General features: G+C 43.2%; 1 protein-coding gene and 1 long non-coding RNA gene across 12 annotated transcripts in view, besides 8 other annotated features; one reads left to right on the plus strand and one right to left on the minus strand.

Moving 5' to 3' along the window:
* PARN (poly(A)-specific ribonuclease) overlaps positions 1-24,380 on the minus strand; it is a 194,560-nt gene that overhangs the window by 42,847 nt on the left and 127,333 nt on the right. For 7 of the 11 annotated variants that reach the window (XR_007064884.1, XR_007064883.1, XR_007064882.1 and 4 more), the window contains one exon: positions 4,091-4,280. Coding sequence is in view for 7 of the 11 variants with exons in the window: in NM_001134477.3 (NP_001127949.1) it covers positions 4,091-4,280 (190 nt within the window). In the remaining 4 variants the exon portion in view is untranslated. Of the gene's footprint in view, positions 1-3,722; positions 3,842-4,090; positions 4,281-24,380 lie in introns of those variants that run through there. The other 4 variants (XM_047434184.1, XM_047434181.1, XM_047434183.1 and 1 more) reach the window with 2 other exon arrangements.
* Positions 7,121-8,056: an enhancer, noted in NCBI's record as "H3K27ac-H3K4me1 hESC enhancer chr16:14579525-14580460 (GRCh37/hg19 assembly coordinates)". NCBI's record gives its function as "activates a minimal SCP1, AML or CMV promoter by ChIP-STARR-seq in primed H9 embryonic stem cells {active_cell/tissue: H9 hESC(primed)}" and the evidence as "EXISTENCE:reporter gene assay evidence [ECO:0000049][PMID:30033119]".
* Positions 8,455-10,495, plus strand: LOC105371094 (uncharacterized). The gene is made up of 2 exons (XR_933105.3): positions 8,455-8,691; positions 9,596-10,495. It is a non-coding gene; the product is annotated as an uncharacterized LOC105371094 (long non-coding RNA).
* Positions 17,096-17,618: an enhancer, noted in NCBI's record as "H3K27ac-H3K4me1 hESC enhancer chr16:14589500-14590022 (GRCh37/hg19 assembly coordinates)". NCBI's record gives its function as "activates a minimal SCP1, AML or CMV promoter by ChIP-STARR-seq in primed H9 embryonic stem cells {active_cell/tissue: H9 hESC(primed)}" and the evidence as "EXISTENCE:reporter gene assay evidence [ECO:0000049][PMID:30033119]".
* Positions 17,619-18,141: an enhancer, noted in NCBI's record as "H3K27ac-H3K4me1 hESC enhancer chr16:14590023-14590545 (GRCh37/hg19 assembly coordinates)". NCBI's record gives its function as "activates a minimal SCP1, AML or CMV promoter by ChIP-STARR-seq in primed H9 embryonic stem cells {active_cell/tissue: H9 hESC(primed)}" and the evidence as "EXISTENCE:reporter gene assay evidence [ECO:0000049][PMID:30033119]".
* Positions 19,547-19,691: an enhancer, noted in NCBI's record as "145 bp enhancer 233 fragment used in the MPRA reporter construct; PK_construct_3132". NCBI's record gives its function as "activates an SV40 promoter by MPRA in HepG2 cells {active_cell/tissue: HepG2}" and the evidence as "EXISTENCE:reporter gene assay evidence [ECO:0000049][PMID:23512712]".
* Positions 19,614-19,624: a transcriptional cis regulatory region, noted in NCBI's record as "NFE2L2 motif; enhancer activity is reduced when this motif is scrambled". NCBI's record gives its function as "necessary for full MPRA enhancer 233 activity {active_cell/tissue: HepG2}" and the evidence as "EXISTENCE:site-directed mutagenesis evidence [ECO:0005528][PMID:23512712]".
* Positions 23,005-23,299: an enhancer, noted in NCBI's record as "tiled region #14533; HepG2 Activating DNase unmatched - State 5:Enh, and K562 Activating DNase unmatched - State 5:Enh". NCBI's record gives its function as "activates a minimal TATA promoter and a strong SV40 promoter by Sharpr-MPRA in HepG2 and K562 cells {active_cell/tissue: HepG2 | K562}" and the evidence as "EXISTENCE:reporter gene assay evidence [ECO:0000049][PMID:27701403]".
* Positions 23,005-23,319: a biological region, named in NCBI's record as "Sharpr-MPRA regulatory regions 10217 and 14533".
* Positions 23,025-23,319: an enhancer, noted in NCBI's record as "tiled region #10217; HepG2 Activating DNase matched - State 5:Enh, and K562 Activating DNase unmatched - State 5:Enh". NCBI's record gives its function as "activates a minimal TATA promoter and a strong SV40 promoter by Sharpr-MPRA in HepG2 and K562 cells {active_cell/tissue: HepG2 | K562}" and the evidence as "EXISTENCE:reporter gene assay evidence [ECO:0000049][PMID:27701403]".

The raw sequence follows: 24,380 nt of genomic DNA on the forward strand, positions 1-24,380 counted from the left end.
TCCACTCTCTCTATTTCTACTTAACCACTGACTAGCTAAAGGTGCTAGTCAGTGCAATAAGGCAAGAAAAATAAATAAAAGACATAAAGACTGGAAAAGATGTAAAACTTGTTAACAGCATACAACATAATTGTGCACATAGAAAACCTTATGGAATATTTTAAAAAATCCTATCAGAACAAATAAGTGAATTTAAAAAGGTTGCAAAATATGAAGTCAATATATAACAATGAATTATATTTCTTTTTTTTGAGATGAAGTCTCGCTCTTGTCCCCCAGGCTGAAGTGCAATGGCGTGATCTCGGCTCACTGCAACCTCCGCCTCCCGGGTTCAAGTGATTCTCCTGCCCTCAGCCTCCTGAGTAGGCTTATAGGCACCTGCCACCACGGCCAGCTAATTCTCATATTTTAAGTAGAGACAGTGTTTGGCCAGGCTGGTCTTGAACTCCTGACCTCAGGTCATCTGCCCGCCTTGGCCTCCTAAAGTGCTGGGATTATAGGCGGGAGCCACTATGCCCGGCAACAATGAATTGTATTTCTATACAAAAGGAGCAAACGGTTTGAAAATGACATTTAAGAAACAATTCCAGGCCAGGCCTGGTGGCTCATACCTATAATACTAACACTTTAGGAGGCCAAGGTAGGAGGTTGACTTGAACCCAGGAGTTCGAGACCAGCTTGGGCAACACAGTAAAACCTTGTCTCTACAAAAAAATTTTTAAAAATTAGCCGGGAGTGATTGCAAGTGGCTGTAGTCCCAGCTATTTGGGTGGCTGAGGCAGGAGACTCCTAGGGCCCAAGAGGTCAAGGCTGCAGTGAGCTGTGATCATGCTACTGTACTCTACCCTGGATGACAGAGTGAGACCCCCATCTCTATTAAAAAAAAAAAACTTAGGAAGAAAACTAACATAAAATATACAAGATCGCCACAGTAAAAACTAAAAAATAGGCTTACTGAAGAAACTGGCAAGATTATTCTAAAATTTATATAGAATGCAAAAGATCTAGAATGGCCAAAGAAATCTGAAAAAGAACAATGTTAGAGGGTATATGCTTTCTGGTTTTAAGACACTATAAACCAACAGTAATAAGATAGTGTGGTACTGGCATAAGGAAAAACATAACTGACTGGAAGTGAAGAGAGCAGAAACAGACCTAGACATACACGATCAGTTGATTCTTGACAAAGGTAGTGAGTCAAACCAATGAAGGAAGAAAACTCTTTTAAACAAATTGTTAAAATGTTGTTGGAAGAATCAGATAGTCATATGGAAAAAAATAAACCCTGATTTCCATATCTTACTCCACATACACAATTAATTTGAAATGGGTCATGACCTAAATGTAAAAGTTAAAATTACAAACCTTCTACCAAAAAAAAAAAAAAAAGAGACAATCACTGCAACCTTAGGGTAGACAAAGATTTTGGGGGAGGAGGGGATTCACTAACAATAAACGGGAAAAAACTTAATAAACAAGACTTTATGAAAATTAAAAGTATTTGGCTGGGTCTGGTGGCTCACATCTGTAATCCAAGCACTTTGGGAGGCCGAGGCTGCCGGATCACTTGAGGCCAGGAGTTCGAGGCCAGCCTGGGCAACATGGCGAAACCCTGTCTCTACTAAAAAAACAAAAATTACGCGGGCGTGGTGGCGCACATCTGTAATCTACTCAGGAAGTTGAGGCACGAGAATCACTTGAACCTGAGAGGCAGAGGTTGCAGTGAGCTGAGATTGCACCACTGTACTCCAGCCTAGACAACAAAGCAAGACTCTGTCTCAAAAGAAAAGAAGAACAAATCAAAAATATATGCTCATTTACAAACATCACAAAGAAATGAATAGGTAAACCACAGAATTGAAAAAATACACGTGCAGCAAAAATATCTGACAAAGGCTATGTATCCAGACTACATACAAGAACTATAAGTGAATAGCGAAAAGACAAACAACCCAATTTTAAAAGGGGCAAGAGACTTAAAAAGCCACCTCATTGGTCAACAAGAACATTAAATGGTCGTCAATATCATTAGTCATGAGAGAAATGCAAATTAAAACCACAATGCAATACTGTCTCATTCCATCTAAGATGACTAAAGTTAAAAGATTGACAGTCAGGTGCAGTGGCTCACGCCTGTAATCCCAACACTTTGGGAGGCCGAGGCAGGCGGATCACTTGAGGTCAGGAGTTCAAGACCAGCCTGGCCAAAGTGGCAAAACATCGTCTCTACTAAAAATACAAAAATTAACCGGGTGTGGTGGTGCACATCTGTAGTCGCAGCTTCTCGGGAAGCGGAGGCCCGTGAATCACTTAATCCCAGGAGAGAGGCTGCAGTGAGCCAAGATCGCACCACTGCACTCCAGCCTGGGAAAAAGAGCAAGACCTGCCTCAAAAAATAAATAAATAAATAAATAAATAAATAAATAACATAAAAGATTGACGGCATGAAATGCTGACAAGGATGTGGAGCAACTGAAACTCACACAATAAAATGGCATATCAAACTTGTACTATAAAATGCTATATCCACTTTGAAGAGCTGTTGCTTTGTTCTTATAAAGTTTAACACAAACTTATCCTAAAAATCAATAATTCTACTCCTACATATGCAGACAAAAAAATTATCTTACTGAAACATTCACAGCAGCCTTACTGATAATAGCTCCAAACTAGAAACAATTCAAATGTCCAACATCAAGAGAATGGGGGTAAAATAAATGCTGCATATTTACATAATTAAATACTCAACGATTAAAAAACTGCTGAGATGCAATAGCAAGGATGAATTTTAAAAATATATTAAGCAAAAAAGTTAAACACAATGCCAAACAACTCTATTTTTTATAAATTCCAAGAATAGGTGAAACTAATCTTAGAGTGGTAAAAATTTAAAAATGGTTGCTTAGGGTCATGGGAATTGTAGTGGGAATTTGGGATTGTTTGAAAACAGACACAAGGAAATTCAAGGGAAATAGAAATGTTCTATATCTTGCTTTGGTTGGAGATTATATGAGTGTATCCAACTGTTAAAACTCTTTGAACTAAACATTTATGATCTCTGCATTTTATTTTATTTTAATCATACCTCAATTTTTTTAATCTCTAAAAAACCATTTTTAAAGTACAGAGGGCAATCTGAAATATTAACAGTGATTGCTTCTGGGTGTTGGGATTATGGCTAATTTTTTTCTCTTGTTAATTCACATTGTTCTAAACTTCACAATTTTCTATAATGAACATATGTATGTACACATTTTTCCCATTTTCTATACCTGTGTTTTGTAGTTTCACAAAGATACCAAATGTTGCCAGCATTTATCTTCTGCAGGGAGGATTATGGGTGATAAAAGGAAGTGTGAGTCAAGCATTCTTTCTACAGTAGGCACCTGGTTCAGTATCTACAGGACCTGAAAGCTCAGGAGATCAGGCAGAGGCAGCAGTACTGAGAAGAGCAAGGGATCAGACACACACAAGTTCACTTCTAATCCTGGTTCTTGCACAGAACTGGTGAACAAGACACAAAGCCTCCATCTCCTCAACCCTAAAATGGGAGTAAGACATATCCTGGGCCAGGCACAGTGGTTCACACCTGTAATTCCAGCACTTTGGGAGGCCAAGGCAAGAGCATCACTTGCATCCAGGAATTTGAGACCAGCATGGGCAATAGAGCGAGACCTCATCTCTACAAAAAATCAAAATTAGCCAGGTGTGGTGGTGCGTACCTGTAGTGCCAGCTACTCAGGTTGAGGTTGGAGGATCACTTGAGCCCAGGAGGTCGAAGCTGCAGCAAGCTGTGATTGTGCCACTGCACTCCAGCCTGGGCAACAGAATGAGACCCTGTCTCAAAAAAAAAAAAAATTCCTGTCTACCTCAAAGAGGTTTTGTGAGGGTTAACCAAAATGGCTATGGTCTATAAAGCAGTCTCTAAAATACAGGAAATTCAGGTCATAGTCACTTCTGATATGATGTGAAAAGTTGAAAGGCCATCTTTCCCAAAAGTCAGATTTAGTACTTACAAACCTATGAGAAGCAACAAGAAAAGCCATTGCTAGAACTCTGGCCTTTTAAATTAACAGCTGAGAGCTCTTACCTATTGTTGCGGTAATAGTGATTCTGCAGGGTGTAGGGTATGCACTGGGGGTTTAACCGTTTGCTGTCAGCCTCCTTCCAGCTATCTTCAGTCCACTTTCTTTTGATCTGCTTCTCTTCCTGTTTTCTCCCCATATATTCAGCATAGGTTTGGATCCGATAGCTTTCTGCATATTTGCTGGTATTGACAGCTACAAGGAAAAGAAAAAAAAATAAAATGCTTACAAAAGTCTGGCCTAGCCCCAAAGATGACACTTTTGAAATGTGGCCTAAGGTGGTCAAAGGAGCCCCATCAGGCCTGAGGTCTGACCCTTGGCTCTGCCACCTGGAAGACAAATGACCTTGGGTACACCTGCAAACTCTCCAAGTCTGAGTTTTCTCACCTGGAAAAAAAAGCCATTGCTCCCCAATCTCATTTTCAGTGTGAAAGTACTTTGTAAACTGTAAAGAACCGGTAATGATATAAGTAAAATATTAATTTTCAAAATATTTGCAGCCAACATTACTATTTGGATATTATTCATTTTCAGAGTAACAAAATGAAAATAAACAAAACCACTAAGGGAAAACTATAAACCCTCACTATTTTCCTAAAATAAAATGACAACAAAAAGCAATATTGCCAGTGGTGGCGATTACTGTGTCACACACTGAAGATCTCCGGTATGTCTGTGTGCAGTGTTTTACATGCATTATATCTAATCTTCATAGTACGCTTGCAAGAGAGGAAATGTTTTTACTGGTGAGAAAGCAGGATCACAGAGGTCAGGGTTTTGCTGCAGACCATCCCTGGGTGAATGGCAGGGATAAGATGCAAAACCAGGTTCCTCAAACCCTAATACCAGGGTCCTTCTTATTACTCTGCATCTATTGGAGGTGCTTTATTATTTTCATTTTATTAATTTTTTTAAATGATCAGGCTTTATTACCTGTTCTGTTACAATGAGTTTTAAACAAATTTGTACACCCACATGTCATCCATCACGCAAATTAAGATAAAGAACATCCCCCTCACCCTCATGCCTGTTTTTAGACAGACTCCCACCCCTCCTTCACTGGACGAAGGCGCCTCAGATGTGTAGTACAATTATGGCATTATCTTCCTCAACTTGAAAACTTTGCTGTCACCACTGCTATCATCAGGGCTTAATTTTGCCTTCTCTTGAGCTACCTATAACTGGAATTACACTACATATGCATTTTTTTGTATTTATCTTATTTCAATAGTTTTGGGGGAACAGGTGGTGTTTGGTTGCATGGAAAAGTTCTTCAGTGACGATTTCTGAGTTTTGGTGCATCCATCAGCTGAGCAGTGTACACTGCACCCAGTGTGCAGTCTTTTATCCCTCACCCCCTCCTGTCCTTCCCCTGGAGTCCCAAAGTCCATTACATCATTCTTATGCCTTTGCTTCCTCATAACTTAGCTCCTATGCACTCTGCAAATTTAAGACAGCTGCACAATACTTAGGACATGCCTCTGCTCCTTCTGCCTTAAAGACTGCTAATTCTCCGTAATGCGCCTCTGGCTGGCAGCAGTACTTGAACACTGGGGCTTAATCCCCCCTTGGTGTTAATGCTTCAGACTAAGGCCAGGTCAGTTGTGTTCTGATCCCATGCTGCCCCCTCTTCTGAGGCTGCTGTGGATGGATCACGATGGCGGCATGGGAGTGAGGATCAATGGTGGCCTCTTGGTGCCCATTTGCTACTTCTGGCTTCCAGTTTAGGCATATGCGTTCCTAGCCCACTATCACTGCCAACAACTATTACCCACACTGGCAGTGAGACCATCAGAGCCTGGCCACGCTGTTCAGGGCAGTCTTTGTACCTGGTAGCTGCAAAGCGCCATGATGTCAGAAACAGAATCTGTCTACTTGCACCTAGAAAACCCCTGGATATGGAATAGTTCTCAATAAAAATGATGTGACTGAATGCAGAGCAGAATGCAGTGCTGGTGACGAGCATGCAGGCTGTGGGCACGTCGGCACTGGACAAGGGACTCCAGTTTACCAGGGACCTTAAAACAGAGGGAAAGACAACTGTATGAGAGGCAGATGTCCCACATCCGGCACCTGACACATTTTAATCTTCAACTAGGCCAGACTTCACTAAAACTTAGTGCAACAAAGGTTTCCGGAATGTCATGCCCTAAATATTTAGTCATCTAAAAAACAGAACAAAACAGGAAAAAACTCTACTTCTTCAGAAAACACAAATTTTTACTAAGAAGTTTGTGTACTTTTAAAATATTCACTCAAGAGTTAAAGAGAAAAAGAAAAAAAAAACCCTCAAAGTATTAGGGAGGCAGGGCACAGTGGCTCACACTTGTAATCCCAGCACTTTGGGAGGCCAAGGCGGGAGGATAACTTGAGCCTATGTAGTTGAAGACCAACCTGGGCAACACTGTGAGACCCCCGTCTCTAAAAAGAAAGTGCTAGAGAATGTTCATATTATACAATGTCTCCCAAAGAAGTGGAGTGGGTTACTGAAATGTGAGCTGAAAACAGCACACTCTGCCTCACTCAGGAGATAAGCGGTGAAAGCAGGCAGTTCTGGAGATGTGCTATTGAGTAAAGTTACTCATATCAGAGAGCCACAGAAATAGGATCCTTTCCTGAAAATCTTATTCCTTGGAACAGTTATTTTTCTTACTTTGAATGTGTCATATTTCTGTTATTTTTCACTCATTTACCCAGCCTCCCAACAATTCATATCCAATAACCATTGTCCACCCATTCTTCCATGTGGTAACTGCTTACTGAGTGTTTTTGTCCCAGGAACTATGTCAGGTATTTGGTAAATCAAGACACAATCTCCACCCTCTCTTAAAGGTCACCCTGTCACATACCAGATTTATGTAGTGGTGATTTCGCTGTAAGCTTGTCACTCCCTAAGCTTGTGACAGATTAAAATATGTTCATCTATCAATGTGGACATATGAGAACCCATTGGTTCTACCATCATTATTCTGTACCAATTGTTAACCAATGAGCATTCTCCTGGATTTTCTTCTATTTCAATTCTTTTTTTTTTTTAAGAAAGTTCTTTATTTTTATTAATATATTTATTTATTTGAGACAGTCTTGCTCTGCCGCCTACGCTGGAGTATAGTGGCGCCATCTAGGCTCATTGCAACCTCCGCCTCCCGGGTTCAAGTGATTCTCGTGCCTCAGCCTCCTGAATAGCTTAAACTATAGGCGTGCGCCACGACGCCTGGCTAATTTTTGTAATTTTCACAGAGACAGGGTTTCACCGTGTTGGCCAGGCTGGTCTCGAACTCCTGAGCTCAAGTGATTCGCCTGCCTCGGCCTCTCAAAGTGCTGGGATTATGGGCGTGAGCCACCGTGCCTGGCCTGGCTATTGCGTTCTTTAATCTAAAAGGTTTATTTTGATTTGCAAGCACACCCAAAAGGGATGACATCTGCAATAATCCCTCTGTTGCCAGGTGTGGTCGCTCATGCCTACAGTCCCAGCACTCTGGGAGGCCAAGGCAGGAGGACTGCTTGAGCCCAGGGGTTCGAGACCAGCCTGGACAATGGGGCAAAACCCCATTCTCCACACACACACAAAAAAAACCACAAAAATTAGCCAGATGTGGTGGCTTCAGACTATAGTCTCAGTTATTAGGGAGGCTGAGGTGAGAGGATTGACTGAGCCCAGGAAGTCAAGTCTGCAGTGAGCCACGATTGCACCATTGTACTCACTCCAGCTTGGGCAACACAGCAAGACCCTATCTCGAAAAAAATCCTTCTCTCAAGTTTAATTTGGATTACCAAGTAGGAGAGGAGGCTTGGGTCAATATTCCCCATGAAAGCAAAGGTGATGACAGGGTCACAGGCGAGCTGAGTTAATCTATTTAATGATATCTGATAGTTTTCAATAATTCAGCTCCCAGCTGATAGACAAATGTTACAAACAACTCCCTAACCATGGCGAGGGGATTTATCTGAGCACATTTGGAATTTAGGATCACTTAAAAGGGGAAATAAATAACAGTCCGCTTTTCACTGCTGGCCTCCACGTGGCAATAATTTACCAGCATTCCTTGAGTCCCAGCAGCTTTGCAGCTCTCGGCCTTTAATCTAGAAGCCAAGCTCTGGCTCAAAGCCACGCCTCTAATGGATGAATCAGCAAAATGAATTGGCTGTCAACTGTGTCCTCCAGCTATTCCAGCTCGCCTGTCAGAAGCAGCATGTAGCAGGCTGCTGGGTAAAACTAACCTTTTCCAAATTTGTCAGGGAAATGATTCAAGGCAATCTATCGGTCTTGCCACTTTGTGAAAGCCACTGGGGAACCAAATGTGCTAAGAGTCCTCCCTGTTTCCCTGGAGGTGAGTGGGAGCAGTTCCCTCACATAAGAGTCTCAAACACTCCGGCTTCACTGTGCCCAAGAACAGCACGGTCCGGGGTGGTCCAGTCTGATCCCAACCGGCCCACCCGGGGCATCCGGTGGAAGTCTTCGCCGGAGGATCCGAAGGCAGCATCAACGCGGTTGTCTCTTGACACTGCACACAGCATAGCATTTAATCTTCGGATGTTCTAGTCACCACACAAATAAAGAGACTGAGCATCGGAGAAACTAAACAGCTTGCCTGAGGTCTTGTAGGTAAGCAACAAAGCTGGCTTGAAACCAGGATGTGGCATTTATATATACATTTTAACAATGTTAATACTGCCACATGCCTGCTGTGTATTTATATGCATTTTGTTTATGTAGGTTGACAATTAGCTTATAAAATGCTTCCTGTATTAAGGAATTACTTAAAATGTTTAGACTTTATTGTTTTTTAAAGAACTTTCCACTACTGTCAAGCAAAGACTTTCCAACTAAGTTGATGCATTATGTTTATGAAGAGGAAGACAACATAAGATGTAGATTCCTTCCTAAATTGACTTATAGATTTACTGCAACTCCAGCAAAAATATTCCAACATTTTATTTTATTTTTTAAACAACTTCTGTGGAACAGGGCTAACTCATAGGCAGTGTGCCCAGAGTTGGCCTCCAACATTTTAATTAAATATTGAAAAAAATTAAAAGTAAGAAAAAAAAATCTCGGTAGAAAACAACAGTGGTTGTGAGAGCCTGGGGCTGGTGCTGGGGCTGGAACGGGAGAGGAAGTTGACTACAAAGAAGGGGAGGGCATTTTGAAGGTGACAGAACTATTTTATATCCTGATTGCAGTGCTGATTACATTACTGCATGCATTTGCTGAGGCACAGAACTGTACACCAAAGACGGTCACTTTATTATACATCAATTAAACCTCAGTTATTCTGGGAAACCTGAAAGATGAATTCTAAAATTAGAATAAAAGGGCCAACAATAGCTGGGACATTTCTAAAAAAGAATGGGAAGGGGGACTTGCTTTACTAGGTAAAAAAGCTTATTGTAAAGCTATAGGAATTGAGACAGTGGAGTAATGGTGCTGAGATAAACTGACCAATGGTACAGAATTCTAAGAGCCTAGAAAAACACGTATATATCTGTGAAACTTTGATTTTTGACAGAACTGCCTGGAAAAGGAAAAGCTGGAAAAATTGTTTATCCATGGGGGGGAAAAAAAAAGAAATTGGATTCTTAGTCACACCATGCCGAAAAATTCACTCCAGATGGATGAAGAGCTGAAATGTCAAAAGCAAACTCTGAGAATTTGAAAAGGAAATATAAGTGAGTATCTTTCTGAGCTTGAAGTAGGGAAGAATTTACAAAGATAGAAAAAAGGACAGGCATAAAAGAAAAGATCAATAAGTTTGGCTACATTAATATTAAAGCCTTTGTCCATCAGAAGACACTTTAAAGAGAAGAAAGACAATCTATAAACTGGAAGAAGATATCTGTAAGACATTCAACTGACAGGATTAGCACTAGAATATATAAAAATAGCCACAAACTAGTGAGGAAACAACTGCAGAAAAGTGGGCACAAGGCATGAGAAGCACGGTCACCGCACAGAAGGGAGGTGTGTGAGGCCAGTGGACATATGCAGAGATGCTCGGCCACAGACAAAGGCAAATCATGACTATGATGAGACATGATTCTATACCTACTGCGTTGGCAAAAATTATAAAAAACATTGATAATACAACTATTGGGAAGGTGTGGAGCAACAGGATCCCCAGTGGTTGTACGACCATTTTGGAAAACAAGTTAGTGTTCTCACTTAAAGATGATCATTCTCACTTCCTATGACCCTGCAATTTCACTCACGAATAATAAGAGATCAATACAATAGTTTCCAAAAAAAAAAAACTGTTCATAATAGCTAAAAAGAAAGAGAAAGAGGGCTCCAAATCCTTATCCTTGGGTAAATGGACAAATCTGCAGTATATTCACAAAATGGAATATTGTCTAAGAGAAAATATGAGTGAACTACAGCTACGCAGAATAAAATGGATGAATCTCAGTGATGTAACGGTGAATGATAAATGCAATCCCCCTCACGCCCCGCAACACACATACATACACACATGGCGGGGGTGTGTATGAGAGGGAGAACAAAAAATAGCAAGAAGATGATCAGCACAAACTTCAGTAGAATAGCTGGTACTGGAAGGGAATCAGGAGAACTAGAGAGGAGAAGAGCAATAGGTAGATGTAATTTATTAGTAATGTTTTAATTCTTTGGTTGAGTGGTGGTTTCACAGATGTGCATTACATTTTAAACAAACAAAATTTCTAGCACGCCTGTAATCCCAGCTACTCGGGAGGCTGAGGCAGGAGAATCGCTTGAACATGTGAGGCAGAGGTTGCAGTGAGCCGAGATCGTGCCACTGCACTCCAGCCTGGCGACAGAGAGAGACTCAAAAAAAAAAAAAAAAAAAAAAAAATTCTAGCTTTTCCATTGTTTTACCCTGTCCAACTACTAAAGGCCATTTCCAATACAATCTGCTTAAGTGAGAAGGTCTCTTTAAGATTAGCTCAAACTTACTCCTGTTTCAATGTCTTCGGTCACATGGAAGTGGAGCCCCTGAGTGGGACACATGTGGTGTAAATGCGTACTGCAACTCAGATGCCAGACTTCAGCCTTGCTCGGTGGCTAAGGGCATTTTTGCAGTCTGCTTCTTAGAGGGTTGAAACCAGTTTATTGTAGCAACTGTTTGTGGGTGGGGAGAGTGTACTAGGAAACTGCTGAAGCAGTTACACACCATTAGTCCTGCATTTTTTGCCATGGCCACTCTCAGCAAACATCAAGTTCTCAATGTCTAAGGGAATTGCCTATATTCGTATTAACCCAATGGTTACAACAAAGAGGGCTGGACATGGTGGCTCATGCCTATAATCCCAGCACTTTGGGAGGCCAAGGCTGGCGGATCACTTGAGTCCAGCAGTTCAAGACCAGCCTGGGTAACATGGTGAAACCCTGTCTCTACTTAAATACGAAGATTAGCCAGGCATGCCTGTAGTCCCAGATACTTGGAGGGGTGAGGCTGGAGGATTGTTTGAGCCCGGGATGTGGAGGTTGCAGTGAACTGAGATCGTGCCATTGCACTCCAGCCAAGTTGACAAAGTGAGACCCTGTCTCAAATAAATAAATAAATAAATAAAAATAAAACAAAGAAAGAGAACTATTTATTGGCTATTTCCTCTGTTAGCACAGAAAATCCTGTCAGCATTATCCTGGCTTTATAGATAAGGACACTGAGACTCATAAAAAGGGACTGGCCCAAGGTCCCAAAGATTACATGTGTAGGCTGGGACCCCAACCAAAGCCTACATTCTTTCCACGACACCACATGCACTGGAAGGCACCCGGTTTGTGTCATGCAGAGTTAACACAGGCATACATCTGTCTGCAAGGAAGCAGTGTGTCCATCTCTCCACCCAACAGCCTTGTGCAAACGCTGGAAGGAGTCCCTGTGTGATAACCTGGTGTGTTACTCCACAATCAGAAGTGATGTGTGCCAAGAGTGGCCTCTGCCTACTTCACAGGCCCAAATCCTACTCCTCTAATGCCAGTGTGTGCCTTAATGTCAAAGACGCCCTCTCTGACACCCTTTAAGATGGCCTCTCCTTATTCCCCTCAGAGCACCCACCAGCGTGAGGCCCTAAATCACCACATTGTCATTCAGGATTGTCACCCCAAGCCTGGATGACACTAAAGGTTGCTTTGTGTTTGTTTGCTTATTTAAATATGAATATATTAAATACAAAAGTTTTTTCATATTCCATAAAGTTTGATCAAGTTTAAATTTACAACAGATGGACAGCCTCTCCAATTTACCAGATAAGAGAATGGAGGGTTTTATCAGATTTTGCAAAAGGGCAAGCTTTAAAAATCTTTAAAGAAAGATATTAAAAATCAAGGAAAACAGAAACACCCAACCCTAATGGTCATTATGAACATTTTCCTGTGTTCAGAAAAATGATCTCAGATGTATTTCCCCTTAACCCATCTAAGGAACTAGGCAGATACTAAGTTGGAAACAGGAATCAGTGATCTAACAGAAACATGGTAAAATGAAGGTATTTCCAACATGCCCAAAGAAGTAAAAATGGGGAGGCAAGCCCAGAAAATGACAGCCTTCCTTTCCACCCTCTCTAGTCCATCCTTACCCTGCTGACATGATCCATTCTATTCTGTTAAACCCTTCGGCATCCAAGATAAAGTGCAAACTTGCTGGTACACCCAACTGGTGTACCAGCAAGTTTGCCTCAATAATAACCCAGCTCTGTCCAGCCCTCTCATCTCAATTCTGTTTTCCCACATTTAGCTGTTGTCTTCTGAACAGGACCAGGTGCTCTCTGAGGGAAGGGATTATACATTATTCATTTCTGTAGCACCTAGGGTTTATCATAGTAGTTTTCCAGGAATTCAACATATGATCATAGGAAGAAACAAAACTTCAGGCCAGGCATAGTGGCTCATGCCTGTAAGCCCTGCACCTTGAGAGGCCCAGGTGGGAGGATCGCTTAAGCCCAGGAATTTGAGACCAGCCTGGACAACATAGTGTGACCCCCATCTCTACAACATAAAACATAAAAATAAATTAGCTGGGTGTGGTGGTGCACACCTATAGTCCCAGCTACTCAGAAGGCTGAAGTGGGAGGATCACTTGAGCCAGCAAGGTTGAGGCTGCAGTAAGCCAAGACTGCACCACTATATTCCAGCCTGCGCAAGAGAGTAAGACCCTATCTCAAAAAAAAAGGAAAATAAATAAGTAAACAAATAAATGAATGAATGAATAAAAAACAGCTTTTATGTCTGCTGGCAGCCTGTCTCCACTCAAGAGAAAAAACAAGCCAGAATGAGGATACAAACTTATACATTTTTCAGTTAAAAATCCCATGTTGAAGCCTGGTATGTGAAAAAAGTGCCTGGACTGGAAACTGGAGGCCCTGGCTCTGGCTCGAACGGGTAGTTTTGCCTGGGCAGGAAACAGGCCACCGTCACTGATAGCAGAGGCTAACCCACCTGCCTGCTCACACCCTTGGGAGCCAGAGCTTGGGATTCCTTGTCCTTCATGCTTCCTTTCATATCGTGGGTGTTTCTCCAACAAAGGCTAATTATGTTTTTTAAAAAGTCCTGAGGCTGAAAGAGTAGAAACTAGGGCAGTGAAAGAGATCTGAGCCCCGTAAAGGGGACAGACAAAACTAGGGAAGATAGTGGAGGACGGCATTCCTTCCTCTCTGCTTTCTCAGGGCCTCCATGGCAGCGCCTGACCCATGAGATGCACTCAGGAAAGGAAAGGAAATGAATCAAGGAAAGGAAGCAGGCTCAGAGGGCTATGCTTACAGAGACACAGAGTGCAGAGGAACCTGGGAGAGCCGTGAGGTGTTTACAGACAGCTTCCACAGATCCCACCGCCTGGACCCTCACCATGGTGAGGGCAGGTGCTGTTATCAGTGCTTCACTGACGAGGCAGAGAGAAAGTTCCATCGGCACCCAACTAGGATGTAGCAGAACAGGGCAGAGTGTGATCTTGGTTCTGTTACCTAGAGCAAGTCAGGCCCTCTACTCTGCTACCTCCCCATCCTTCCCCTCAATTAAATATGGACAGGCATGCACACTGGCCACTGTTCCCATGTGTCACTTCACTTTACAGTTCTCCAATTGAGGCCACGGAAGCAGCAAAGAAAACAGTCTTTACAAACTAGACATGAAAATAATGGTGATGTTTAATTATTTAAAACCTACCCAAACGGAAGCCACAAAGTCAAATGGGAAAACCACAGGCTCTGAGGCCACACAGGCCTGGGTTAGAATCCTGCCCAAACCTTAAGTTGTGTGGGGTGAGTTACCTGCCTCCCTGGACTTCTCTTTCCTTATCCATAAAACAGACATCTCCACCTACCTTACAAAGCTTTTATCACAGGGCCTGAGACACAGTGGGTGCTTAATTAACAAGGTTACTGCTGTTAAATCACAAATATATAATTCAGACAAAAAGAACTTTGCCAAAGCCAATATAAGACATTCCATTGCTCTGCATATTCTCAAACAACAATAAAAAAAAAGAAACCATTATTTAAAAGTCTGAACTATAAATTTCAAAATTTTCCGAGACCAAAATTAGTTAATTGATTTTCTCCCAACTCTCCTGAAACCACCTGTTAAAACATTCATCTCATTCATTCATTTATTATTTATTTATTTTTGAGACAGGGTCTCTCGCTCTGTTCCCCAGGCTGGAGTGCAGTGGTGCAATCACGGCTCACTGTAGCCTCGAGTTTCTGGGCTCAAGCAATCCTCCCACCTCAGCCTCCTGAGTAGCTGGGACTACAGGTGCATGCTACAACACCTGGCTGATTTTTGTATTTTCTGTAAAGACAAGGTTTTGCCATGTTGTCCAGGCTGTTCTCAAACTCCTGGGCACAAGCGATCCACCCATGTTGGCCTCTCAAAGGGCTGAAATTACAGGCATGAACCACTGTGCCCAGCCATCTCATTCAATAAACACTGGCACTGGGTACTGGGATGCAGCAGTGGGAAGCAGAGATTCCCTGATCCTAAGAAGCCTGCAATCTGAAGGAAGAGTAAAGGAGGCGAAAAGACTGGTAGAGCAACACCAAGTAGGCAGGTATCTAGGTGGGAAATGATAATCTCAACATGAGCAGGGGCAGCAGCAAAGGCGACAATAAATACAAGCTATTAACAGGCTGACTGAGAGGTGGAAGAGCTACTGCTTAGGCTGTAAGTTCCTATGGCCCAAGCCAATTGCCTCAGCATTGAATGAATGATGTCACTAAGGAACCCTGCTTTGATTAGCCAGCCTGGTGTTTTTCTTTTTCTTCTTCATGGTTTCAGGCTGAAAAGTCAGTCAAAAATTATTAAAGCCACCATTTACTAAGTACTTACTATAATGCTTGTAAAGAACTATGCTAACTACTTTCCAAACAAATACAGTTGACCCTCGAACAATCTGTGTTTGAACTGCATGGGTCCGCCTATATGCAGATTATTTTTCAACCCAACACATCTTGAAAACACAGTCTCTGAGGGATTTGAAACCTGCCTACACGGAGGGCCTCTCATACCCACACGTTCTGCAGGACTGACTGGGGGACCTGAGTACGTGAGAATTTTGGTATACTCAGGGGTCCTGGAACCAGTCTCTCATGGACATTAATGAACGCCTGTATATTTCAATCTCACTTGTTCATTTATTCATCTATCCATTCATTCATGAACAAACTATCTTCTAAAACTAGGCAACTGAGGCTGAGAGTGAAATCAGAGAGACAAAGCCCAGTACTCAAGGAGAGAAAGAGAGCACAGACCATCACCCACGGGCTGAGGGTTAGAAAAGGAGCTTGCTCTGGAGTTTCCCATGGGGAAATGACCACACCTGGGGCTCAGAAAAATTTCCCTAAGGAAAAGACACTCAGGTCTTTCTTGAGACTTGAGGGTTGGGAGAGCAGGTAGTGTAGAAATTCTGGAGGTGGGGAACTGTGATCCAGGCAGAAGGAATATGATGAGGTGACTCATCTGAGAGAGGAACACAGTCTAGACTAAGGATGAATGACCGTAATAGTGAATCCTAAGGAGGAAGCAGGAGAAGGGCCGGCGGTGCAGCCGGAACGATGCGCAGAGGAGCGCCACACTGAGGAGTTCAGTCAGGAGGGCCTTGTGGTCAGATCTCCTCCTCCTGACAAAGATTCCGGGAGATCAGCAGGACGCCAGGGTAATAAATATGGAGAGAAAGGGCGGTGGCTTGTTAGGATGGAAGAGGTGGGGACACAGAGAAACTACACAGTTCTCCGAGTCCTAGCCTGGGCAGTGCAGGGTTGTGCCATCTGGGACCAGGGAACAAGATAGTGGGAACACAGGAATGGGGTAGATGGTGGCTTTGAAGTACCTGGGAAACATCGGTGGAAATGTGGGATGGGCAGAGAGAATACATTTGGGAATCACTGGCATGAAGGTGGTGTGAGCCCTGAGAAAGAATGGAATTGCTGAGGAGAAGGTGCAGAGTAAACACAGAAGCCTCCAGACTGAACTTAGGAGCACCGGCCTTTAATCCTCGTATGGATGGGGAGGGCAGTCATGAAAGCCTGGGAAGCTGTGGCCTGAAAAGGAGAAGGGCAAACCTAGGGATTTAAGAAAACATTGCTTCAAGGAGGAAGAAGAGGCCAGGCATGGTGGCTCATGCCCGTAGTCGCCAGCACTTTGGGAGGACAAGGCGAGAGGATCACTCGAGTTCACGGGTTTGAGGCCAGCCTAGGCAACACATACCCCTCAATGTCCACTAAAAAAAAAAATTAGCTAGGCATGGTGGTGCGCACCTGTAGTCCCAGCTACTCAGGAGGATCGTGAGCCCAGGAGTTTGAGGCTGTAGTGAGCTATGACCACACCACTGCATTCCACATTCCAGCCTGGACCACAGAACAAGACTCTGTCTCCAAAAAACAGAGGTCAGAGTACTGAGCACTCAGGCAAGGTGAGAAGACTGCCTGGTGGGTGTGGCAAAGGGGTCAGAGGGTCTTCAGTAAGAACAGGCTCTGTGGTGTGGGGACCACAGCGAGAGGAGAGTGAGCGAGGAACCACGGTAAGGGTGGTGACTGCAGACGCCTCGAATTCCGAAAAGGAAGGAAAGATTTGGGAGAAGAGGCGAGCTGGGGTTGTGGGAGTTCTTTTGAACAGGTGGAAGGAATTCTGCCCATGGGTGGGCATGGATAAAATGTAGCACAAGGCCCCTGAGAAGGGACTTGGAGCACATGGTGGGGACACATGTCTGACAGAGGCACAGAAGGAGGGAGGTGTGTGCGCGGACAGCTTTGTGAATCTGGGGGCAGGAAGTCGCACCTGGAAGTTCACTGTTTCCTCTGAAGAGGGGTCGAGGTCAGGGGAGGGGAGGGATCTTCCCAAAAGCACCAGGGCTGGAACCTGGGAAGACAGGAAGAGCAGAAGAGGCCATGGAGCTGGTACCTGATAAGGTCCCTGCCAGAGATGTGACCTTCCAACTAGTGCTAACAATCTGCCCAATGCTCTTTTCCTCCTCAAAACCACCCCACAAAGTGGGTAACAATTCTCCTTCCATGGCCAGGCAAACAGGGGCCGAGAGAGGTTGAGTGGCCTGCTGAAGATGGCGATTCTGACAGCAGGGCTGGGGTGTGAAGCCCGAGCTCCCTGACCCTGACGCATGCTTCTGATGACAACTTTAACCTGCCCCTCAAAGCAGTCAACAAAGCCTCTGCGCTCACACCCAGCCCAACACAAAAAAGGGCTTTCCCAAGTGCTGACACAGCAGCTTAAAAAGTGGGTAGTGAAGTGCAGAAGGTAAGAAGGAATTTATGATGGCATCAAGTAGAAGCAGATGGGAGTTTGGCAAAAAGTTTAGAACTATTACTTAAAGAAAAAAAAAGAAGAAACCCTTCTTTTTTTAAAAGATGAAACACAACTTAAAATAGACTTGGGAAGCAATTCCATACTTAACAGTCTTGAGGAAGTTGACAGACAGCTGAAAGACCTAAGCAATTTACAACATTCTTCACACTTCATGGCAGAAAATTAAGATTGATGTCTCAACTACACAAGAATAATTTAAGGTAAAATCAAAGATCTGCTAGATCATGTGAAATGGCAGATCCTAAACGTCAAGAACTCTGAATAAATTCCACTCCAGGGAAGACTAAATAGTACACGGCTTAGTTAATACTATATCTTTAAGGTCTGCTTATTACATATTACAAAGAAGTACAAACAGATACCAATCATGGTTTATAGGGAGGTTACTAAGCACCAGGTTCTCTACTATCTCTAATCCTAATACATTATTCTATATCCTAAAACATTAATCTATTTTCTTCCATCTTTAATCCTACCCCTGTAAAGCAGTCTTATTTTGAATACGACAGAACAGTGCCTGAGACATGTTAAAATAACTTGCCTGATGTCACCGTGCTGGACTGCCGTGCACAGCCAGTATTTAACCCGTTGTTGACGCCCCTTCCCCTGCCTGAGGGATTCCCAATTTAATGCCAGCATACAGCCTGCAATAGGTTTTAAATTGCAACAGTATCACTAAACAATACCTACTTTTACTACATGAAACCCACTCTCATACGTCCTTTTCTTCGACTTTCTCCCCTCTTTTTTTTAAATGCTGGTATCTACCAGCATTGATTTCCTGACCCACTAAACAAGCCCTGCCTGACCTGAACTCTATAACACAACACAGCTCATTGACACCCACCATTCAAAACAGCATTTCTATGTGACAATGTGCTTTGTGTTCTAAAAGGTTAATCAACAAAAGAACGTTTAGGACACAATCTCTTCACAGCCTGCGTGTAACTGAAGCACTGGCTGGAGGTAGTGGCTGCATCTACAGATTCAAGTTGGGTCCTTTCACCTGGACTAGTTCTCAGGAACTTCAGATGCCAGGTACAAATATATACCTAATAGGCACACACACCACCTGCATCAAGACAACACTTTTGGACCTAGCTAACTTTGGCAACTTGTTGGGCTGTTTATGAAGTATTAAATCTGCCACAACATTAGTGATACGGTGATAAAGCACAGTGCTCCATGTTTCTTCTACTTCCCATAGCCACATACGCAAACAGCCTGACAGAGCAGCACATATTTTAAGGCTTACAGGTTTCAGTGGTTGAAAAGCTTAGTCTGTTTGTGTATAAGCTAATATAGGAGCTGCTGGGCTGCACTATTTACACTTTCATTAAGGGCTGCACTATTTACACTTTCATTAACTGTGTCTCTGTGGATGTTTTGAAGTGGTTTTCATCTGATAAAAGAATTTACTGGCCGGGTGCGGTGGCTCACACCTGTAACCCCAGTACTTTGGGAGGCCAAGGCAGGTGGATCACAAGGACATGAGAGCAAGAGACCATCCTGGCCAACATGATGAAACCCTGTTTCTACTAAAAATACAGAAATGAGCTGGGTGTGGTGGCATGTGCCTGTAATCCCAGCTACTCAGAAGGCTGAGGCAGGAGAATGGCTTGAACCAGGGAGTCGGAGGTTGCAGTGAGCCAAGATGGTGCCACTGCACTCCAGCCTGGCAATAGAGAGAGACTCCATCTCAAAAAAAAAAAAAAAAAAAAAGAATTTACTTATACCTCATGACTCAGCTTATTCATTAACCCAGTGAAACCCCGGAGGAGAGGAGGGGAACTGGAGAGAGAAAGAGAATGATGGGCAGCCAGGCAGAGCTGAGCTAGCTCACCTGCGAGGTGAGTCATGGCCCCTGGGAGGGAGGGTGTCTGTCACCAAAAGCAGCCTCTCCCAACCTATTAGAGAGTCACAGAAATTCCGTATCAATAGTAAATGGGACAATTTTGTCTCTGGTTCCCTTTAACCGTCCCTTGCCATGCTCCTAGCATTGGAAGCACTCAGCACTTTCCTGATGGTGCCAGGATGCTGCGCTATGAACATGAGTCCTCTTCCTAGGCCTGCCTCTCACCTCTTCCCACCTGCTAGCCCTGCAATCCACCTACAGATGCAGAGCAGCTCCAGGACACATCATACACGATCTGTCACCACCAAGAAGGTTTGAAAAAATGCCAACACCACCTCCTTGAACACCAGGCCAGCTCCTCCGTGCCTTCATGGAGCCCTGTGCCTGTGCTTCCCATCCTCTGTGGAGAGAGAACAGTTTATTTTAAAGGAAGGGAATGAAATCCTCTCTCCAGACTATGGGTTGCCTTGGGACGATGAAATTTACTTGTTGTAACTGGCAATATTTGACTTCGAAAAAGAGTTACACTTCTCCAAAAGGGAAATGGATAAAGAATGAGGATGTTATTTTTATTTTCCACATCAATTTTACGCTTTGCCTTGATGAGATGATGTGCTCAATGACTAATTTATTTCATTGGTGAGTTCTGTCTAGACCCTACACGCTGAAACCCTGAAGGTCACCAAATGTCCCCAAATGGTGGCGCAAATCTGAGTAAGAATTGTTTTGATTTTGAAGTCCCATCCTGCCTGGGCATTTAACACAATGATTCTACACTTGTATTGTTGTTTCTGCTTTTAAATGACCACATCACTTCCTTGTGGATTTGGGATCTTAGGAGGACTATTCCAGCTCTTTATTTTCTTTTTCCTTAAGTAAGCTGCTTCCCTGTTACGGGGGCTGTTGCTGCTGACACCAGACCTAAAGACAGCATTCAGGTCTGAACTGGAGCAGGTTAGGCTGCTAGGAGAGGAAGCATGCTGAGTGACATTACTCTTGAGTCTAACACAGGTAATACAGGGGGATGGGAGAAGGAGAAAGTAGGGAGAGGGAGAGAGCGGGACAGAGAGAGGAAGTGGAAGGAGACAGTGAGCCTGCAGGGGAATCAGGGAGAGCGAACTTTTCCCATTTGCTGAGGAACTGCTTTTATTAATAGAAGGTGGCAACTCCCAAAATTCAAAGAAGTAACAAGTTCTTCACCACTCCTGGACATTAAAAGGATCTGTGAAATTCTTTGCCAGCAGGAGAATACGATTTTTAAAAAAGTGATATTGACATTGTTCAGCTTTCCAGACTCAAGTCATTAAATCTCTAAATTGTTCTAAATATTCATTTTGCTTTCTACATTCTAAAAGTGTAGAGCTTTTTTGTCTATTTAAACATTCATTGTAAAAACCAACTGGTTAGATAAAAAAGTCAAGCCAAAAGAGAGAAATGTAAAAAACTAAAACAAGCCAGGTGCAGTGGCACGTGCCTGTAATCCCAGCTACTCAGGAGGAGGAGGCAGGAGGATCACTTGAGCCCAGGAGTTCAAGTCCAGCCTGGGAAACAAAGGGAACCCTGTCTCCAAAAAATGTTTTAAATAAAAACAATATTAATACAATGGCAAGTGTGATATTATCACATGCCAAAGTATTTTTGAATATTTTATAACATTGTATTTTAAAATTCTCAATGACCTGAGAGTTTCCTACAATGTCAAAATACTCAACACAAATTAGGAAACTGAAAAACAACTTCTGAAAGTCAGGTATACAGAGAGAAGAACACAGAATGCTTTTTTTCATTCTTTGTTTTTTGAGACAGTCTCACTCTGTCACTCAGGCTGGAGTGTAGTAGCACAACCACGGTTCACTGCAGCCTCAACTTCCCAGGCTCAAGCAATCCTCCCACCTCAGCCTCTCAAGGAACTGGGACTACAGGAGCTTGCCACCATGTCCGGGTAATTTAAAAATTTTTTTTGTAGAGGTGGGATCTTGCTACATTGCCAGGGCTGGTCTTGAACTCCTGGGCTTAAGGAATTCTCCTGCCTCAGCCTCCCAAAGTGCTGGGATTACAGGCATGAGCTGCTGTGCCCAGGCTAGAATGGTTTCTGTAAACTTTATCTTTTACTTTTTTTGTTTTGTTTTGTTTTTTTAAGACAGGGTCTCACTATGTTACCCAGGCTGGAGTGCAGTGGCTATTCACAGGTGTGACCATAGCTCACTGGAGCCTCAAACTCCTGGACTCAAGCAACCCTCCCGAGCAGCCAGGGCTATAGGCACGTGCCACCAAGCCTGCCTACACTTGTGGATTTTATAAAGTACTCTCTACATTTCTTTCCCTAGAAAAAAATATTACCACCCTTTAGATTCTAATTCTAAAGTGCTACATCTAATACCTCTAACATAAGTAAAGTCTCATTTTAAAGCATGTCCAATGAATAAATTTGCTTCTACTGCCTTTGCATATGCTAAGATTTTGATGGAGGAAAAAAAAAGTACCTGAAAGCAGCTTTCATGGAACCCAGCTATAAAGCTCCACAAACCCCATTTTTCCAGTGAGCTCACAGATAGTACCCTGTGCCCTATGTCAGCTTAGGGCAGCAGTTAGAGGCCTTTACCAACAGAAAAGAAAAAGCCTAGCTTGCTTCTAAGGCTACATACATCCAGATCTGTTCCACCAAAATCAAATCTGTGGCAAGGAGGTCCATGGCTACAGATTCTTCTGCTATGAGGCACCCAGGGAAATAGTCCAGAGGTCTGAATTGCAAACAAAATAATTTTAACTAATATAAAAAAGACCATCTGTTCAGTAACTAATTCCCTTGAGGACATGATATGGAAGTCAACTATCCAGCTTCCACCTTTACATAGTATATAAATGAGAAGAGAAAAGCGAGCAGGTTGGGTGCAGTGGCTCACGTCTGTATCTTAACACTTTTGGATTATTTGAGCCTGCCCAGGAGTTAGAGACCAGCCTGGGCAAAACAGTAAAACCCCATCTTTACAAAAAAAAACAAAAAACAAACAAAAAAACAATAATAATAATAATAATAATAATAATAATTAGTCTGGAGTGGTGGTGTGCGCCTATAGTCCCAGCTACTTGGGACGCTGAGGTGGGAGGATCACTTGATTGCGCCACTGCACTCCAGCCTGGGACAAAGCAAGACTGTCCAAAAAAAAAAAAAAAAAAAAAAAAACAGAAAGAAAAAGAGAATGAATGTTAAAATGTAGGCAGAGGCATGAAAAATAGAAAAGAAAGTCAGCTTGCAGAGCCAAGTTTATATCTTACCCCACCCTGATGTGGTTGGCCAACAGCTGATAGAGGGCTTTTCGGTAAAGTAGGTAGAAACAAACCCCACCAACCCTCAGGTTACCAGGCAATGTGCCACCATGTTATTAAAGCCATCATGGTGAGAGTTCCTGGGCAGGCAGCCCGCTGGAATGCTGAGTCATCTGTTCCCCCGCTCACAGCTGGCCCTCCTCCCCAGCACATGCTCTGCCCACAAGCACACTCTTTGGGGAATGCATTAGGAAGCAGCTACCTGAATGTATCCTGAAAATCACAGACAAGGCACTAAACACACACCCATTGGAGCCTGTTCTGTCACAACTCAAGCCAGAGTGCAGGCATAAATCACTGCCGTTTCTGGAAAGAGCACAGGCACACCTTGCACTCAGCTCTCTAGAGGCCTTAGCTAAATGCTGTTTAGATTATTTTTAAAAAATGTGGTTTTGACTGGTTCAGGATTTAAAAGAGTTAACAAACATCATATGAGCAGAAGGCACAATGGAATGAGTGTGTACACTCTGGGGTAGACAGCTCTACTACTGGAAGGCCACATGCCTCTCTGGGCAACTGTTTTCTTATCTTTGAACTGAGATGCTTTCCACAGTTGGCTTCAGGGAAAGCATCTAAGACTGGAGTCACAACAGAGTATTCACGCATGGGGCAAGGGGTGGGGACGCTAAAGCTGAACTTTGCCTTTAGTTAAAATTACCCTTGAAACTTCTTTCTTCACACTGGAGAACATGCGTCTCTCAGTGAAGCCAACACAGCTGGTTTTTCCTCCAGGGTCAGAACACACTACTGTTTCTCCTCTAGGACATCAGAGGAAGACGATGGCTTGCATGTGAGCACCATGTTATTAAACACACATGTACACACATGTGTGAACACACATGGTTTATAACCAGCAGGAAGCTTGCTACAAGAAGAGTGTGAAAGTTGATATTCACAAGGAAGGGGCAGAATCTACATCTCCCATTTCATCTCCAACTCACTGGGATAAGGATAAATACTTTTGCTGAGTGAAGTGACAAGCAAAACCAGTCTCACACCCTAAAAAATAATTAGCCACATCAAGTACATTTGAATTCACACAAGTTTCAAAATGTTATGATGTAACTCTACTTGGTACCTAGCAAATATACGATCTAAGCCTCTGTGCCTGTCCTCTGGTCACATGTACCCAAGCTAGTTCTCTGAAGACAAGGAAGGTGTTTTAGCTATTCTATACCTCCAGTGATATTTCTTCAGGAGAGAACAGCTAATACAGCTACTTCTCTCTGCTTCCGAACAGCCCTGGGCTTGCAATTACTACAAGCCACTGAAGAACCACGGCTTAACTTCTTAGGGCATGGATTTTACCAGAGATCAGGGAGGA

The sequence above is a fragment of the Homo sapiens genome, chromosome 16 (genome assembly GCF_000001405.40).
Source record: "Homo sapiens chromosome 16, GRCh38.p14 Primary Assembly".
Classification (NCBI taxonomy): domain Eukaryota; kingdom Metazoa; phylum Chordata; class Mammalia; order Primates; family Hominidae; genus Homo; species Homo sapiens.